Source organism: Homo sapiens, chromosome 21 (assembly GCF_000001405.40).
Source record: "Homo sapiens chromosome 21, GRCh38.p14 Primary Assembly".
NCBI lineage: Eukaryota > Metazoa > Chordata > Mammalia > Primates > Hominidae > Homo > Homo sapiens.
This window is the reverse complement of record NC_000021.9, coordinates 39,592,850-39,612,919: the sequence shown is the minus strand read 5'-3', so window position 1 is coordinate 39,612,919 and position 20,070 is coordinate 39,592,850. Positions and strand designations below refer to the sequence as shown.

The 20,070-nt window shown below is 47.4% G+C and overlaps 1 long non-coding RNA gene across 2 annotated transcripts; it reads left to right on the top strand.

Moving 5' to 3' along the window:
• The first annotated feature begins 97 nt into the window (after positions 1-97).
• Positions 98-15,773, top strand: B3GALT5-AS1 (B3GALT5 antisense RNA 1). Of its 2 annotated transcripts, none has more exons than NR_026542.1 (3): positions 98-623; positions 3,255-3,337; positions 14,931-15,773. It is a non-coding gene; the product is annotated as a B3GALT5 antisense RNA 1 (long non-coding RNA). The 2 variants fall into 2 exon arrangements; NR_026543.1 differs by lacking the exon at positions 14,931-15,773 and adding an exon at positions 6,573-7,321.
• Positions 15,774-20,070: the final 4,297 nt, after the last annotated feature.

Sequence of the window (20,070 nt, the reverse complement as noted above, 5' to 3'; positions counted from 1 at the left end):
TCCGCATTTAGGAGGTGGGAGGAGCGCGCGGCGATGCGCACAGGAAATCTGATAGGTGAGGAGGCCGGCGGGCCGCGCAGGGCGGCGCGGGCTGGGGGACGCGGCGGGCGGCTCCGGGAGGCGACGGGACCCCCAGGCCGGCAGCCGAGTGAAGAGGCAGGAACTGTCTACAAATGCTCCGGCTCCGAAGCCCCGAGGGAAAGAGCATCTTTCACGGAGCACCAGGAATTGACGACGGTGGAATTTGCTCAGATCCCCTGAGGCCGGTTCTTTGAGTTTCTGTCTGGCCCTCCGGGAGAACCGTCCCAAAGTTAACTTTGAAAACACTCACAGGAGAGGGAAGGCTGTGGGGTCCTTCGCTTCTCAAACCCCAGATGCCCCCGGAAAGAACACCGCCCCCGACCACCACCACAACCAGATGTTTTTAAAAAGAGATGCTAAGCAAAAGGCCTGATTATGAGGAATGAGCCAAAGTCATGCAAGGCGTGGGGCGCTATGGGACTGCGCAGTGACGACCCAGTGAAGTAGATGCCTTGACGATTCCCATTTCACGGATGAGACGACTCCGGCACAGAGAAGTCAGAGGGCCTGTCCTGGGTCACACAGCCACAGGCGGCCCCCAGGTAAATGAATACTGATGTACCACAGCCATAGTGCGGGGGTGGGGGAGGGGTCGCAGGAGCTGAAGCCAGTGGGACCCCACCTTTCTCTGGCAGGAAAAATAGATATATATTTATGTAGACAAATATACATTTTTTAAGGGATTGAGAACATATCATTCAATTCAGTGATCTTCAACCCTGGCTGCAGTAAAATCTCTTGGGAAACTCTTAAAAGTCCCAATGCTCAGGCGCCTACCCCAAGCCCAATGAAGCTGGCTTATTTTCCTTAATGTCATAACTTCAGCAGCTTCAGAGCAGTGCCAGCCCTTTCTTCCCCACGGCTGACATGTGATCCTTCTTGCACAAAGATGACGTGAGCTAATAGGGAAGTGAGGAGAGACCCCCCGCTCCAAAAACAAATTAGGAACATGGAGTCCAGAGCCTAAAAGGTGTAGAATCGCTTCAGAGAACGGACAGGCCTCGGAAGCTTGAGCGTCGGGTTGGAGGGAAGCCTATGAGGGGTCTGATGGAGAGGAACGCAGCCGTGGGGCAGCAATCACCAGCCGGGATTATTAAACTCCCACGCGATTCTGCACGTGGCTTTGTGCAGCTCCCGTTTCCTGGGGTAACCATACGGGCCTGGCACACTCACAGCTGAGCAGGGCCAGACAGGATGCCGCCTCAGGCAGCATCAAGTGGGGTGGGTACCAGCCCAGAGGGGACAGGAGGTGAGCCTGCCTGCCTTCCGGGGTGCCCCCTGCCCTCTCCCTCCCAGTCCCCGGTTGCTGTTCCCCCCACTCCCTTCCCACCCTTTCCTCCTTTCCCACCCAGCACGTCCTGCACCAAGAAGCACATCAGACCTCTGTCCAGCTACGGACACCTCAATTGAGCCGGCACCTGAGGGGCTATGACATGGGGCAGGTGTTTTTTTAATAAAGGTGGTGGGGGAGGAGGGTGCAGGACCCAGAGAAAGGGCCCTGGGAGACTGAGACTTAGAGCTCTGCTCTGAGGGGCAGGGGGCCAGTCTCAGCAGGGGCCACAGAAGCCAAGCCTGGATACATGTCAATACCGACATATAAATTACATTTATATGTTAAATGTAAACAGTTAAAATACACTTATTGCGCTCCAAGTATAAAAATCAGGGAATCGTTCAGGTAGAATTTCAGCTTTGGGTGCTGGTGGTGGAGCTGGAAGCTTCTTCCCTGAAATTGTCCTTGGGAGGAGGGTCCTCCATTTTTTGTTTCCAAGACCAGAGTAATTTAATTATACTACAATGACTTCTTCATTTGAGCAGCTTGTTTTCAATTAGGCTAGTAAGTGGTATAAAAACAAGGATAAGGGAAACGAATTGGAGGGCTAAGGGCCTCTGCATGGGGACAGTGTTCCAGCTGAGACCCCCCATGGTGAAAGGGCAGAAATGAGGAGGGAGCATTCCAGGCAGATGAGATCACAGCAAAGGCAAACACCCTGCACCAGGAACGTACCTGCTCACTGCTTAGCACTACCATGTAGAAAATAGGCTGTAGCAGAGGGCAGATCATAAGTCAATGTGCGCAAATTGCTTAGCCCAGTGAGCACCACTGTGAGATGGGCTAGCCATGGCCTTGGGTCTTGGAGATACCTGTCAAGAAAGTGAAAGCATCCATCCATCCATCCTAGGCCAGAGCTCATGGTCTCAGGCTCTGAAATTGGTCTTTGCTAAACTGTACGAGAGGCCGAGGCAGTGGCCCAGGCAGTGGTCTGCTCTGTCCCGGTCACTGTGGGGATGGGTCTCACCTGTGAGCCATGCAAACTTCTCTCCCATGGGAGAAGGATTTGCAGAGGCCGAGCACCTCTTCCCCATATACCTTCCATCACCCCACAAGGCCCTCCAGAGCCTGGTACCAGTGACTGTCAGTCAAAACGTGCAACCTTCCCTGTGCTCGCTGACACTCCTGTTTGGTTTCAGGGTTCTTAACCTCAGCACACTTGAAATTGTGGGTTGGATAATTCCTTGTTGTGAGACTGTCCTGTGCACTGTGGTATGCTTAACAGGACCCTTGGCCTCTATCCACTGGATGCGCACCCCTGCACACACACACAAGTTGTGACAACGTCTCCAAACTTGCCAAATATCCCATAGGGAGCAAAGTCACACCCAATTGGGAACGGCCGCTCTCGTAGAAAGGAACGGGACCCAGTGCTCCACAAATAGCTACAGAAAACATTTATCCATGACAGCTCCACGGAAAAGGGCCGCTTATCAGAGATTAGAAGATTGTGCCCCATGATGGAGCTGCCGGTCAAAGTCCCCTGCTGCCAGTCCTGCGCCACACGAAGGAGCCGCTGGTCAAATTTCCCTGCGGCCAGTCCCTCCCTCCATGCCAGCCTTCAGGTGCTCCTTCCACAGGCCAGGCCCACGTCATTTCAGGACCTGCTCCTTCCCTGCCCTCTGCCTGGACCAAGCCTCTCACGGATATTCATGGGTCTCTCCTGGACTTCACCAGATCTCTGCTCAGAGACTACTTCCCCTTCCCTGATGCCCTGTTTAGCACACACACCCCCCACACACACCTCAGTCCCCTGCTGTTGATCCTTCTGGCTCAGCATTGCTACCTGACATTTCGGGGTCCACCTGCTCATTTGTCCATGCTCTGTCTCCCCTGCCAGAACGGGACTTCAGGGTGCACCACTGCACCCCAGCAGAGACCTCCGCCTGGCACACAGGGAATGCTGGAGCAATACTTAAATAGGTAAGTGGAGGGATCAACCGGTGGCATCCATGGGCAGTGGCTGGGGAAATGGAGCAAGCGAGGACTCTTTTTTTTTTTTCCTTTCATCTATCTTAAGACCCACTACGAGGGCCCTTTTCTACCATGGGGTTTGGTTGCAAAATGTGCAAGCAAGTTCCTTCTCCCCTCCTGATCCAGGCTGGTGATGGTGGGAGGCGGGAGAGTTCACTTGCTCTTCACTCATCTCAAGGAAGCTCCAGCCACTACCAGCGGAAAATTCCTGCATTTCTGATTCAAAAACCTAAGTGGAACAAGCTTCATGGCTGAGATGTCCCAGGGACCCTCATGAAAAGTTAGAGAATCATCAGAGGTTCTTTGAGGCCTGGAAAATGATTTTCCCAGAGAAGTCACAATACTAATTAGAATGCCTCTGCCTGGAAGGCTTTCCAGGCCCACAGCAGTTTTCTGAAGCATGAAACAAAGCTTTCTCTTGGAGCAAAGTGAAGGGTGAGAGAACAGAGTGGGCCGGGGAACTGGGAGCTGAACCCTGGAGGTAGCAGCTGCTGCCTGGAGTCTGAGGTGTGTGCCGGCAGTGTGGCTACTGTCCTGGGGCCCCTGGGAGCCGCACCACTGCCTCATTGAGGGGATATCCTGCCCATGTGGGCTATTCTTGCCCCAACAAACAGGCTGACTTTTCCCCAACTGGGGGGGAGCCTTCATTGGGATTGCAGAACATGATTATGACCACCACCCCTCCCAGGGGGCTGAGGAAACATGGCCCAAGCCAGGGTGGCCCACGTGGTTATAACATGACAATTGTGCATTATACGGATAGGCAAGGCTGTGGCCAGTTGCACCCTATGGGTTAGGATGAAGGTGGCCCCTCATTGCTATAAGTAGGTGGGACCACGCCTTCCCAGATAATGAAGGAATTCACTCTCTGAATGGGACCAGAAGAGTCTACGCTGGTTAAGAGAAGTGCGGAAGGAGGCTGTGTTTGGATGGTCCCTGGTCACCTCTGAAAAAACACAGCCCTCCAGCCCTGAGGCCACAGAGAAAGTACAGTAACCAGTTTATAAGCATGCATCAGTAAGCTTTCCATTTCATATTTTCATAGAAGTTTTTAATTTGATTTTGGGATTATTCCTGAATAGTGCAATTTTATGACACATGAAAAACCAAGAACACTTGAAAATGATCATCACCTTTCACTGTTGAGCTGGCTTCTTAAGCAAAATTCTTGGCACAGTGCACCCCCTTCCCCATGGCTGTGCCTTCCCTGACATTTCTAGTGAGCTCTGGAGCATGTAAACCTAAGCCAGTTCTAAGGTCTCTAAAATAAAGGTCCATCTGGAACCTTCAGCATGGAAGTTCCAAGCCAGGAAGGAGATGGAGTGGTAAGAACATGTAGAGTTTGGTCAACTTGGCTTTGCAAACTCTTACTCCGTAAGTAAGCTCCACCCCTCAGTTTCCCCATCTACACAGTGGGCATGATAACAGCGTTGTTGTAAAGCTTATAGAAAGATGGTGCAGCCAAATGCTGGAGGACTCCTGTGGCACTCTGTGCTTTCTTTTTGGTAACATAACAATTCTCAGGCTTTTTTTTTTGTTTGTTTGAGACTGAGTCTCGCTGTGTCACCCAGGCTGGAGTGCAGTGGTGCGATCTGGGCTCACTGCAACCTCTGTCTCCCAGTTTCAAGCGATTCTCCTGCCTCAGCCTCCGGAGTAGCTGGGATTACAGGCACCTGCCACCATGCCCGGCCAATTTTTGTATTTTTAGTAGAGTTGGGGTTTTTATCATGTTGGCCAGGCTGGTCTCGAACTCCTGACCTCAAATGATCCACCCACCTCGGCCTCCCAAAGTGCTGGGATTACAGGTATGAGCCACAGGGCCTGGCGAATTCTCAGGCATTTTTGTGTTTGTTTGTCTTAATTTCTGTCTTTACTACTAGCCTCCTTCATGTATCTCACTGACTTCTATTTCCACCAATGTCTATCACAGTTCCTGAGATATAGCAGGCACTCAAGACAGGTGTTAAGTGAATAAACAAAGTGATGCATTAACAAATAAATTGTTTAAATGAGTGACTGAGTAAAACTCAACACAGAACCTACACATAGTGAGCATCCACATAATAACAATGGCACCATTCCTCTTTAAAACATACGATTTGATCTTTTGCTTTTAGAACACAAGGCCTTTAGATAGTGCGGTAAGCTTGGTAGGAAAGTTGGTCACTTTAAAGTCAGTTTAATTTATAGTAATATTGGGAAAGAGGATCTATAAGGCAATCTCACTTCCAAAATGCAAACAAACAAGTGAAAACCACTTTGCTTTGGTCCTTTTCATATTTCTTCCAGAGAAGGGAATAAAAATTTCTATTTAAAAATTTGGGATAAACTAGGCTAGGTGGTGTGCACCTGTAATCCTAGCTACTTGGGAGGCTGAGGCAGGAGAATCGCTTGAGACCAAGAGTTCCAGAGCAGCCCGGGCAACATACTGAGACACAGACCCTTAAAAAAAAAAAAAGGCCAGGGGCAGTGGCTAGCCCCTGTAATCCCAGCACTTTGGGAGGCTGAGGCAGGTGGATCACTTGAGGCCAGGAGTTTAAGACCAGCCTGACCAACATGGTGAAATTCCGTCTCTACTACAAATATAAAAACTAGCCGGGTGTGGTGGTGCATGCCTGTAATCCCAGCTACCTAGGAGGCTGAGGCAGGAGAATCACTTGAATCTGGGAGGCGGAGGTTGCAGTGAGCCAAGATCATGCCACTGCATTCCAGCCTGGGTGACAGAGACTGTGTCTCAAAAAAAAAAAACGGACGGGGGGGATCTCCTTTGTAGAAACAGAGTCTCACTATGTTGCCCAGCGTGGTCTTTTTTAATTTAATTTTTTTGTATAGACAGGGGTCTTTCTGTGTTGTCCAAGTTGGTCTCAAACTCCTGGACTTGGGTGATCCCTCCCAAAGTGCTGGGATTACAGGCATGAGCCATCACACCCAGGGTCTCTTTGTATCTGTTGCTAGTGATCCTGACTTCAGAATGCAGCATCCGTGAACGTGCCATGTTGCATGCAGCTAACCAGTGCTTGGAGAGACTGGACTTAAGCTCTTGTCTTCAACCCAGACCCAAGGACTGCCTGTTCCTTTGCAGAACTGCCTAGTACACAGAGTTAAACGTCGTGTAGCTTGTATGATTGGGAAGGAAGCAGAAAGTAGAATTCTGAAATAACATAACTGATTTTTTTTCAACCAGCATGGCAGCTTTTCGTGTTTGGAAGCCTTCAGAATCATTTCCTACCCTCTCAAGGAACCCATTCTTTAGAGGTACACACCGTTCCTGTCAGAGAGGCTATCTTCCTAGTGCTAAATGATTTTTTGATGCACTGAAAATTAAATTCACACTCAAATTTCTGCATTTGAGGAGATTTTCCTGTACGCTGAGCTCTGTCAAAAGAGGTATATTGAAGAGAGGGTAGTTCTGGGACCATTTGCAAGACAGCGCATTGATTGGAAGCCTATACATTCTGGAGTGTTGGCTTAATATGTTGATCATCCTTTGAGGTGGGGCACAAGGAAAAATAAACTATTTCTCCTTCAGGAACATACAGTGGCATAAGAGAGACCAACTTGGTGATAACTGATCATAGGATTAGACCAAGGTGCAGAAGCAAACAGAACCTCCATAAAATGTAATGATGTCTTGTGCCTGCAATCCTAGTGCTTTCAGAGGCCAAGGTGGGAAGATTCCTTGAGCTCAGGAGTTCGAGACCAGCCTGAACAACACAACAAGACCTCGTATCTATGAAAAAATAAAAATAATAAAATTAGCTGCACACCTATTTGGTGGCACACACCTGTGGTCCCAGGTACTCGGGAGGCTGAGATGAGATCATTTGAGCCCAGGAGATCAAGGCTGCAATCAGCTGTGATCATGCCACTGCCCTCCAGCCTGGACAACTGAGCGAGACCCTGTCTCCAAAAAAAGTAAAATTAAAAAAAAAATTAAAATGTGATGGAGTGCAGAGGAAAGGTCAGTTGATTCTCACTAAGGGTTGGACTTCATTGGTGATTTTCTGTCTTTTTAAGAGTTAGAAACTCCTTTTTCAAATGAAACGTGTATGGACCTCCAATGTCTTCAGCCAGGTCAGAGATGTTTTGTTGGGGACGGGGGCTTCCAGCCCACTGAACACCCCTGTCCTGCCATAGCCCCAGAGGTACCACCTTGGGCTCTGCCCAGTGCTGCTTCAACACCTCCAGATGGGAGGAGAGGGACCTTTCCTTCCAGTTCTAACCCCCACATCAGTCAAGGGAACCCTGTACAAAATGCTGAGAAAGCCAAAGAAAGTCAGAGTGCAGGCAGCTTCTTGTGACTTACTGCGGGGGCTCCTTGTGTCTCCCCTCCTCCTGCCTGTTAGACTTCTCCTTGCTGGCTGGGCCCACGCGTGGATGCACGGGTGCGGAGGATGGGAACCCAGGATCACTCAGCAACGTGCTTCTTGTCAGCTTCCTGCAAAGGGGAGAAATCACGCGTCAACCAGAAGCTTTTAAGTGAAAATCTGAGGACCTCCTACCTTCATCCACCAGAATGCTGCAGCTTTCAAAGTACTTTCTAGACAATGTCATTCAAGCTTGTGATAATCCCACTGGGTGGGATGAGTGGGAGGTGTTATTATTTCACAGATGAAATTGAGGTTCGTTGGTGACTGAGCACCTCTTGTCACCTCACTGTCCCATGTCCACAATGGAGATGCAGGAAAGGTGCTTTGAACTTTGGTCAGCACCTAGTAAGCCCTCAGTGCACGTTAGCACTGGTCATTCGGTAGTGACCCAGGAGCTCATCACTAGGAAGTGGCGGACTGGGAAGCAGAATCAGACCTCCAAATTCCCCCCAGGACCTGTCGCTCACTCTGCTATTTGAGTGTCCAGCCCAGAAGCATTTTCGGATCTCCAAAATAAAGTCAAAAGTGCTAGCAATGCTTGGTGAATTAATAACATGTGATGTTGGCCAGGCACAGCGGCTCACGCCTATAATCCCAGCACTTTGGGAGGCCGAGGCGGGTGGATCACGAAGTAAGGAGATCGAGACCTTCTTGGCTAACACGGTGAAACCCCGTCTCTACTAAAAATACAAAAAATTAGCCGGGCGCGGTGGCGGGCGCCTGTAGTCCCAGCTACTGGGGAGGCTGAGGCAGGAGAATGGCGTGAACCTGGGAGGCGGAGCTTGCAGTGAGCTGAGATGGCACCACTGCAGTCCGGCCTGGGCGAAAGAGTGAGACTCCATCTCAAAAATTAATTAATTAATTAATTAATTAAAAAATAAAACAACACTGTGATGTTAAGGCCCTATTTTCCAGGATTTATCATGATTGGTTTTATTGAGTAAAGCCTGGGCAAAAGACTTAGGTGTCAATTTCGAAAGACTCATTTAAGTATCTTTTTAGAAGTAACATTATGTATTATTATTGTTGTTATTATTATTAAAGTTCTGTGCCAATCATTATTCTAAATGTTTGACATTTCTTTCTCACTACAATTTTGTGAGGTAGATGCTGTTATTCTCCCATTTTACAGATGAGAAAACTGAGCCACAGAGGAACCAAATAATTGGCCCTGGTAAAGCAATCTCCTGACAAACAGAAATAGCCTGAAGTTATAACATGCGCATATTCCTTGTTAGTGCACCTAATTTCTCCCCCACTTTTTGGGCTGACTTAGGACTTCGTTGGGTTTTGTTTTGGTTTTCGTTTTGAGACAGAGTCTCACTCCATCACCCAAGCTGGAGTGCAGTGGCACAATCTCAGCAGACTACAGCCTCCACCTCCAGGGCTCAAGCAATCCTCCCACCTCAGCCCCCCGAGTAGCTGGGATTACTGGTGTGTGCCACCACACCTGGCTAATTTTTGCCTCTTTTCTGTAGAGATGGGGTTTTGCCGCATTGACCAGGCTGGTCTTGAACTCCTGGCCTCAAGTGATCTGCCCACCTTGGCCTCCCAAAGTACTGGGATTACAGGCATGAGCCACCACACCCAGCCTCCTCTCCCCCTTTTTATCATTAACAGTATGAATCTACAGGGAAGGGAGAGAATTAGGCCTACAGAGCTTCCCACTTTAGCCTGAAGTGAATGAGAAGCTGGCAGTATTTAGCATAGATGTATTTCAAAGAAGGAAATCCATAAAGCCATAATTAGCCCCTGAGCTGGAAGCCAGATGAAATTCCTTTAAAACAGAGATAAGGAACTAATTATCCTACTTTCATCTCAGGCAAAACACCAAGAAATAGGGTGAAGAGCAATAAGAAAAATTAATTAGAGGCAAAGTAAATATGGAAAAGGGAGATCGATGCAAAAAGGAGGGAGCTCTTCTCTTGAGGGCCAGGAAAAGCCTGCCGCCCATTTCCCAAATTTCCTCCTCTTTTACAGACTCAACAACATGACTTAGAAAGGCTTGTGTGGTTTGTGCATTCTAGGGTGGTCTTCACGGAAGTCTGTACCCTGGCTGTTCAAAATGCATTTAGAAAAAAACCAAAAACCACTAAACAGAGTCCGGGATCTCACGTGTGACAACTTGGGGAGACCCTGTCTGCACAGTTTTATAATGCAGGCCTTCTCAGAGCCTTTATTGTGAGCTGACAATTGATGTGCAAGAGGAGCATAGGGAATGCAATATTTCCCAAGCATCTGAAAATGAAACCCATTTTTCAAAGATTGTGTTGTAGGACTAGAGTTTCAAGAGCTCTGCTTTGGGTCATGGTGTTCTAAAGTAAAATAAATGCAAGGGAAATAAATCCATAAATGTGTGATACATGCGTTATTTCTGCCATTACCTAATACTCATTTGACAACATGAAGTTTAAGTCCATGAACACAGATGAGGGGAAGCTTGTTGAGGCCTTTGGAGCCTGAGAAGTGAAAGTCTTTGCATTAACTTGAGTTTTTGACATCTGTGGAGCGGCCACACTGTCACCAATGCCCAGAGGACGGAAAATAACTGCTATGCTAGGAAAGCAATGAGGAGTGTTTTAAGAAAAGCCAAGTGTTCACGTCACGTTTTTCAGGCACCAGATCCCTCTCTCCCTGAACCAGGAGATCTCCGCACTTTGTGCTTTGCCACACCCGCCAGAAGCAGCTGGGGAAGGACTGCGTTCACCATATGCCTTGTCTAAAGAAAAGCAAGAGGAAAGCGGGAAGCTCCAAATTTCCTTGCTCGGATGAGACCCAGCCACTGGCCCGTGGACTGGCACAGGCTAATAGAATGCACAAGCAGGGGAACACCAGCCCAAGCCACTGCTGGCACCCACAGAAGGAGGCGCGGGCAGGCTTCTCCAGGCTACACTCCTCCTGTGCACCCCCTCCAAGCTGGGGCCATGGCTCTGCCCCTCCCGGTGAAGTTCCCCAGTGCTCACCAAGGCTCACAAGACTGACAAGGGCAGGGCAAGGGGTGAAAAGCAGAGAAGGCAGGCAGATGCCTCAAGGGCCTTTCCACCACCTTCCCCACCAACCCGCTGGACCTTCTATCACTGCCTTTCTGGGTGCACGGTGTCACTGTCCACTCGACACTCCCGTCAGAAGCTGCAGGTCTCCGATCTCACTCCCTCACAAATCTCAGTCACTTCTCCCTAAGCGTGTCTTTTGGGTCCAGCTCCCCCTTCCACCCCAGCCCAGGCCTCACCATTTCTGGCAGGTGCTTTGCAGCCACCCCATGCCTGGTCTCCCTCCTGAGCTCCACGTTAGAAGAATCTGATCTATTTAAATCAAATCCTTGCTTGAAAACCATGACTGTGCCTGGCCAGAGCCACACACACTAGAAAGCCCACTCATAGTCTGGCCCTGAGCTGCCCGCCCAGCCTTGCTGCTGACTGGGTGCTGCACGGCCCCTCCCACCAGCCGTGCTGACAGTCCACCGTTTGTGACACAGAACTCTGGCATTATTTATTTCTGTCCTGCCCACTCTTCCCTTCTGCAGGTCCCTAGGAAACTCCTGTTCAGCCACTGTTCTCTCTCTTCCCCACTCCCAGTTAGTGGCTTCATCCTCAGGCATGTCTGTCCCTCCTTCTGCAGGAGCACACAGCACGCTGCACTGTGGGGACCGCTGTCCTTTGGTCTGCATGCTGCTCATCGCATCTGGGGGAGAGGACCCGATATCGTTTGTTTTTACGTCCGCGAACTTCACATGGTGTTACCATGTAAGTGTTAAGTCGCACAAGAGTGGGTGCTGAAGCCGTCCTGGCCTGCTTGCTCCTCCTCTAGGAGCTGACCTTCTGCATCATGCTGGCTGAGGAGGGAGAAAAGAGGAAGAAGCAGCAGCTCTTTTTTTTTTTCTCTAGGTGCTCTCTCCCATCGCTGAATACAACCAGCATCAGCCATTCGGGTTAAAATACAGAAGAGCTATGTTGAAACTAGAGTGATATTTGCAGAAGGAGTAGCACATTAGGCTGTGTGCTGAGACACAAGACAGGTCTGTCCCATGAACAGGCAGTATCTATGGCTGCAGCACTGCCAGGGACAGCAGCCTCCAGCCACAATAAAGCTCCAGGAGCCAGGGTGGGGGTAGTTTGGGGTGGGGAGGGTTGCTCCGTATTTGGAGGGTGGCATTTTTGTTTACTTTGCCACTTACTTTAATCCCTGGTCACAATGAAAGGACTTTAGGAAACGATCCTCTGAACTATTATTTCTTGCTTATCCACTAAATTACAATTAAAATTTCAACAATACAACCTCATTGGGAGCCTCGTGCAAACAAGTCAGGATCCCTCATATTACCCAAGTTCTACCTACAGAACTATAAACAGGACACGTTCATGTATTCCTATTGATGGTTGACAATAATTCCACTGTCAGCCATCAAAGAACTCCCTTGTGTAAGAAAGCGCAGTGCCATGCAGTTAGTGAATAAATTTCTGGAATAAATTGAACCACTAGAGTTAAATCAGTAAATTTAGAAAACCTAGGAAACCCAATAAATGGGAAGGTAGAACTTTGCAGTGGACACAGGGATCTGTCACAGACACAGAAGGTAAGGTAATTCATCCAGGCCTCGAAATAGCAACAGCAATGAACATTTTCCACATCAAAGATTTTAATCTTAAAAAAGGGATCATTAAAAAAGACACATCATTAATCTTATTTTACAGCATTAGAAAATGGCTTAACGCCTAGATCTTCCAATCTCTAAATGAAGCACTATAAATTTTATGACGTCTATTTTTTTAGTGATAATAATACCTGTCCTGAGATGTTCAGCTTCCCACTGGTTAAAAAAAAAAAAGGAAATGAAAGAAAAAGTTGCTATTCAATAATTTACTCAGCCAATTCTTCCTTGTAGAGTTCTACAGGACAAGCCATCATTTCACAGTTTTCATGCCTGACCTGCCTCCAGAGCTCTTGAAAACTTTGGAACCAAGAATATTTTTATCAGCCATCCTCCAGACTCACTCACGGGTTACCTGACCGCACTAAATCCAAAATGAGGGTAAAAATCCCTGCTGCAAATTCCTCCTGGCTTTGCCATCTTGGCCAGTCATTCCACCAAACCGATTGTGCCTTGCAGATAAAAGTCGTAAAACTGAAAGGCAAGTGGCAGATGCAAACTGATTTCCTAATTGATCCCTTGGTTCAACCTGCATCTACAGGGAAGTTACTGTGTCTGGCACAGTGCTGGACACTGGGATACAAACAAAGGGTGCATCCAGGAGGTCCTTAAGAAGAAGCAGTCCCAGACTGTAGAAGCCTCCCAGAAGAAGAAGGGGGAGAAGTGTGTGAATCATGACTCTGAAGAGCATGAAGAAAGATGTCACCGCAGCTGGGGGAGTCTCCTCCCAGGTTTCCCAGCCCAGCTGCCTCACCTCTGGCCAGCAAGGTCCACTGCACACAGAGGTAACCACTGGAACAAGCAGCTGGAAACCTCAGCTTCTTTCCCTGTAGGCTCCAGGAGCTTCTAATTCATGTCTGTTGTCCACATGCTGAGGCTTCTATCCATCCCTCAACCCCTGCTGCACAGGAAACCCTTCCTGCCTCTTCTCTGGCGTTGAGCCCCTGACTCTCCCATCCAGCTTCCAGCTCAGCCCCACATATGTCTCTCTGTGTCTGTGTTTATCACTGGTGAATCTTCAGCATTGGGGCTACCCTATGCCAGCTCAAGGCCCAGCTGAGCCCGCCTGGCCCCCAACTTGCACCGTGGAGATGGGGACTTGGTCACAGAGATTAAAGTAGACACTGGGGGCAGAGAGGCCAGGGATGGAAGGGAACTTAAATAAGGCCACAGGTAAGTGGATTCATTTGCTTGGGCTGCTATAAGACCCACAGACTGGGCAGCTTCACTAACAGGCATTTATCTGCCCACAGTTCTGGAGGCTAGAAGTCTGCAATCGAGGGGTCAGCAGGGTGGATTTCTTCTGAGGCCTCTGTTAAATGGTAAACTGAGGCACCATAAAAGTTGAGATTTTATTTGTTAAAACCCCAGTCCAAACAGCTTCAAGCCAGAAGTGGTTGGGTACACTACTGAGCAAACACAGACAAAGCCAGTTAGGCCTCATAAGAGATGTAGATCTTGCTTGATTTCCAAACATAAGCAAAACTTAGCTTCAGCTGTTTCTTGTAAATGGCTACATTGAAGAACAAGGCCAGCCCATTAGCCCTGAAACTAGGGACTTTTCAGCAGGAAAGACTAAATAAAACAGCTATACAATTGTAATCAATCGCATGTTTTCTTCGCTTTACTTGCGTGTGCACCCTAGGTTTATCATAAGGTTAAATGTCATGGCGAATGTGAAAAAAGCCTTTTGGAAACGATGTGTGTAAATATCATTGCAGTCACCTTATAAAAAGGAAGTTTGAGGAGAAAAGGGAAAGCAGCACTCTCTTACGCCCCAGGCAAATCGTGGCTGAACCAAATACAACCCTGCGATGAGCATTCCTGGTGCCCCACAGCTTCCCGCAGATGGCAGATGGTCCATGCTGTGGGAGGAAGACTCGTGTGTGCATATATATGAGGCTGCCCTGACAGACCAGGCCAATCCTGCTTCCCGGTGACTGTGGCTTCCTTGTCTCTAGGAGGCCTCGGTTCAATTAACTTAGCAGATGTTTATGAGGCACTGAATATGTGTAGCCTAGAAGGTCCATGAGAGAATGAAGGGCCCTGGGTCTGATTTAGGCAACCCCGTATACCTAGCCCCTACGACACATCTGTGTGGCACCAACATAGCCTCCCAATAAATATCTGATTGACAGCAGACTATCAGGCACTGGGCTAGGGACAAGGGTCAGAGTGCAGCAAAAGGCGACCATCGCGTAGATGCTAACCACTCACCGCATGCACTTTGTTGAGATAGAAGCAAAATTCTCTAAGCACAGAGAAGAATGTGATTCATTCTGCTCTGTCATTAAGGGCAGGGAAGTGCTGCTCAGGGATGGCCGTGGAAGCTGGGCCTTCCAGGACAGGTGAGATTTTAACGTAATGGCGAGCTAAAGAACAGGTGTTCCCAGCAGCAGCAGCAGCACACAAGAAAGCATGCAAATGAGGACATGTGCGGGGGCAATGTTTCCTGTGGCTGCTGGAATAAACTGCGACTAACATAGTTTAAAACAATACAAGCGTATTATCTTACACTTCCTAGGGGAGGTCAGAAATCTCACGGGCTCTGCTGGCTTCTGTGCTTCGTCTCTCAAGGCCAAAATCAAGATGTCATCAGTGCTGAGCTCTGGTGCAGGATCCACGTCCAGGCTCACTGGGGCTGCTGGCAGAATTCAGCTGTGTGGGGTTGTAGGAATGAAGTCCTTGTTTCCTTGCTGGCTGTTGGCCAGGGGCTGCCCTCAGCTTCTGGAGGCCGCCTGCCCTCCCTGGTTCATGGCCCATCTCATCCTGACAGCCAGCACCCGCGGGAAGTCCCTCTTGCACTGTGACTCTCTCCCGCCTCTTCCATTCTCTATGGCTTGTCTGCCTCCCTCTTTCATCTTTAAGAGTGCATGTGAGTATATTGGACCTACCTGAATCAGCCAGGCTAACCTCCCCATTTTAAGGTCTGCAGCCTTAATTCTACCTGCAAAGTCCCTTTTGCCATGTAATGTGCCATATTCACAGGTGTCAGGAATCAGAGGGCAGGTATATTGGGGGACCATTATTCTGCCAACTACACAGGGCCTTATATGGTCTGGCTCTGTGTCCCCATTCAAATCTCATCTTGAATTGTAATCCGAATTGTAACCCCCACGTGTTGGGGGGAGGGACCTTGTGGGAGGTAATTAAATCATGGGGGCGGTTACCCTCATGCTGTTCTTGTGATAGTGAGTGAGTTCTCACGAGATCTGAAGGTTTTGCAAGGAGCTTTTCCCCCTTTTGCTCAGGACTCTCCTTCCTGCAGCCAAGTGAAGGACAAGTTTGCTTCCCCTTCCACAATGATTGTAAGTTTCTTGAGGCCTCTCCAGAACTATGAGTCAATTAAACCTCTTTCCTTTATAAATTACCTAGTCTTGTGTATTTCTTCATAGCGGCATGAAAACGGATTAATACAGGGCCCATGTACTAGAAGACAGAGGACATAGAGTGGAAAGTGATGTGGGAAGAGAAGGAGCTTGGGGCTTTAATGTGAAAGCCTTTTTTTTTTAATTGAGACAGAGTCTTACTCTGCCACCCAGGCTGGAGTGCAGTGGTAAGATCTTGGCTCACTGCAACCTCCGTGTCCCAGGTTCAAGCGATTCTCATGCCTCAGCCTCCCAAATAGCTTGGACTACAGGCGTGCACCACCACACTGGCTAATTTTTGTATTTTTAGTAGAGACAGGGTTTTGTCATGTTGGCCAGGCTAGTCTTGAACTCCCAGCCTCAAGAGATTCTCCCACCTCAGCCTCCCAAAGTGCTGGGATTACAGGTGTGAGCCACCATTCCTGGCCACATAATGTGAAGATTTTTGAATGACTTTCTGAAGAATTAGAATGTGATCATGCAGCCACTGAGAAAACCCCAAAAGACTTAAAGCCAGGGCGTGGCAGACTCTACATTTTACAAGAAAACACAAGTAAAGGATGGAGTCAATGTGTCTTTGGCCTGGTGTCACCTTCCACTGAGCAAAACTATTAGATCAGAGAAGCCAAGTTGACTCCCCTCAATCAGTGGTCCAAAGGAGAGATTGTCTCAGCATCTTAGTCTGCGTGGGCTGCCATAGCAAAATTCCACATGCTGGGTGACTTAAACAACAAGCATTTATTTTCTCACAGTTCTGAAGACTAAAGTCCAAGATCAAAGTGCTGGCGAATTTGGTTCCCAGCGAGGGCTCTCTTCCTGACTTTCAGACAGCCACATTCTTGCTGTGTCTTCACATGGCCTTTTACACAGCAGAAAGAGATAGAGGTCTCTGATGCCTCTTCCTCTTCTTCTAGGGACACCAATCCTATTAGATTAGAGTCTCATCTTTCTGATCTCATTTATATTTTATTACCCCCTTATAAGCCCTACCTCCAAATACAGTCACATTGGGGGTTAAGGCTTCAACATAAGAATTTGGGGCAGAGAGCACAAGTCAGTCCCTAACACTCAGGTTTCTCGATGGAGGATTCAGGAAGTATGAACAAGACCCAAATTCTAACCCTTCATGCCTCAAAGGTCTCTGGCCATGGCTGACATTAAAATACATCAGTGCACTGAGGGAAAAGGGTGAAAAATCTTATTTCATTTCTTTAATATTTACTTCTTGCCTTCCTTTTGCTCTAGCCTTATTTCCTTGGTGTGGCAATTTATGGCTATTGAATCTTAAAAGAAAAAAGAAAACACAATTTTTATTGAGAACTCATGTATGCTGAGTATACATTAGTCAGAAGAAAATCTTGATGGGAAATTAGAGGAAAGAAAATCTTCCCACTGACGGCAGCACTTGCCAACTCATTATCAAAATGGATGTTGTGCTTTGTCTCGGCTGGCTCCAACTAGCTGCAGTACGAGTATCTGGGACCTGGGATGTCAGAACCCATTGGACTTCACAGAAGACAATTTCCTGAACAATGAGCAGTGGGAATTATTTTGACAGACTGCATAAAGATCCAAGGAATAATTTCATCCTGTCTAGAAGACAAAAGTCAATGCTTAATTAGCATAATCACTGTGAACTTCCCCATTCCAGCAGTTAAAACCCCCAGAGTTTTCTATTTGGCAAACTAGTTGTATTATCCAACGTCCTCCAGAGAAACAGAAACAATAGGCTATGAAAAGAATGAGAGAGACAGATTTTAAGGATTGATTCACAGTTTTAGGGGCTGGCAAGTCCAAGATCTGCAGGGTTGGCCATCAAGAGTAGAGACCCAGGAAAGAGTTGTATTGAAAGGCAGTCTGGGCCGGGCATGGTGGCTCATGCCTGTAATTCCAGCACTTTGGAAGGCTAAGGTGGGAAGGTCACTTGAGCTCAGGAGTTTGACACCAGCCTGGGCAACATAGCAAGACCCCAGCTCTACAAAAAAAATTAAAAATTAGCTGGACATGGTGGCACATGCCTGTAGTCCCAGCTACTCAGGGGACTGAGGTGGGAGGATCGCTTTAGCCCAGAAGGTTAGGAGGCTCCAGTGAGCCATGATCACACCACTGCACTCCAGCCTAGGGGACAGAGCAAGACCCTGTCTCAAAAAACAAACAAACAAACAAACAAGTAAATAAAAGCAATCTGGCAGCAGAATTTCTTCTTGCTCAGGGGAGGTCAGTCTTTTTCTCTTAAGGCCTTCAGCTGATTGGAGGAGGCCCACCCACATTATGGAGTCTGCTTAACTCAAAATCTGTTGACCTAAATGTTAATGACATCTAAAAAATATCTTTATATTGTTGAAACAAAGAACAGGGCACCATGACCTAGGCAAGTAGACACATAAAATTAATCATTACACCACTCAGCAAATTTCTTCACTGGCATATGTTCCTTTCCCTGTCAAAATAATAAAGATGGCTTTGTATTATTTAGCACCGGTGGTCTTTGTTTTATTCTTGGACGGTCTGGTGAGTCCACCGAGATTGTCCAGCTGGAACCTGTAAAGCAGAAAGGCACAGCTCCTGGAACCCTCAAGTGCTGAGGCTTGGTCTTCCAACTCTCCTGCAGCCTGGGTGCCTTGCAGAGGCAACTGAGCTCAGAGTGCTCCTGGATTTCTCACTGAAACTGCAATTTGTTTTGTTGAAGCTAAGCTGTCCAAGTACCATAGCTCATGCCTTGTGTTGTAACTGATCGGTAGTCTCCCGTGAGACTTCATTTTTTATTTTTTTTTAATTTTGTATTTCCATTGGTTATTGGGGAACAGGTGGTGTTCGGTTACATGAGTACGTTCTTTAGTGGTGATTTGTGAGATTTTGGTGTACCCATCACCCAAGCAGTATATACTACATCCACTCTAGAGTTTTGTCCTCTGAAGTTCCAGTCTCAGTTTGTTTTTGTTGTGTCTGTGATATGTCAGAAGATGAAAAATTGCCACCTTTCCCAGGACTTGGGCTGTAGAGGGAAATTCTTCTATGTCCCTGATGTGCTCAGCCTAGAACAGCTGAGCTTGAAATGGTTAACGCCACCCCCACCACTCCTTAAGAAAGTCTTTCAATTCTGCAATGACCATTATCTGCAAACTCTAGAATTATCTAGTTCAGATAGATAGAGTTAACACTAAATAGAAGAAAATTAACATATCAGATTACAAAGTTTCTTGTAATAAATGCTTTATACAGACTTGTAAGCACTTATATAAATTTTAAATAGAATAAATCCAAAAGGAAAAAATATGAACTCCTAATGCTTCAAATGTTTTGGTTCCTTTAAGTAAAACATTCTTATTGAGACTGCAGTTCTGAAAGCAAAAAGAAAGGTTTAGCCAGAGTTGATTTAATAGCCTTGGCTAATCATATTTAGGTCATAAGAAGGGTCACAGCTGAATCACCACTGTTAACAATTTAAAGAGAGAGAGTTATACACACATATCTGTATAGACAGAAATTTCTCAAACAATTAAACAATGTTTAATCAAGATGAATCATTCAAAATTAGACCATTTTGAGGCCAGATATGGTGGCTTACACCTGTGATCCCAGAACTTTGGGAGGCCAAGGAGGATCACTTGAGGCCAGGAGTTCAAGGTCAGATTAGGCAATATAGTGAGACCTTGTCTCTGCAAAAAACTAGCCAGGCAAGGTGGCATGTGCCTATAATCCCACCTACACGGGATGCTGAGACAGGAGGATCCATCGAGCACAGGAGTGCAAGGCTGCAGTGAGTAATGATCACACCACTGTACTCCAGCCTGGGCAATACAGCAAGACTCTGTCTCAAAAAAAAATTAAACCACTTTGATAATCTGCCTTCTCTTGGATTTAGTAACAGTATAAATACAATAGTAGTATAATATTCTAATTTATGTACATGTAGTTTATTTACTTCCTCATAGAAAGCTTAATCTGAACTTCTTAAATTTCCTATATTAATTTCACCTGATCTTAAACTAACGTTGCTTTTATACATTTTAAGATTACAAAAATGTGTTCAACTAAATTGAATTTGGGCCAGGTATGGTGACTCATGACTGTAATCCCAACACTTTGGGAGGCCAAGGCAGGAGGATCACTTGAGCCCAGGAGTTTCAGACCAGCCTGGGCAATACAGTAAGACCCCATCTCTACAGGGGAAAAAAAAATCAAAAAAATTAACTGAGTGTGGTGGCTCATGCCCATGGTCCCAGCTACTTGGGGAGCTGAGGTGGGAGGATCACTTGAGCCCAGGAGGTCAAGGCTACAGTGAGCCATGATTGC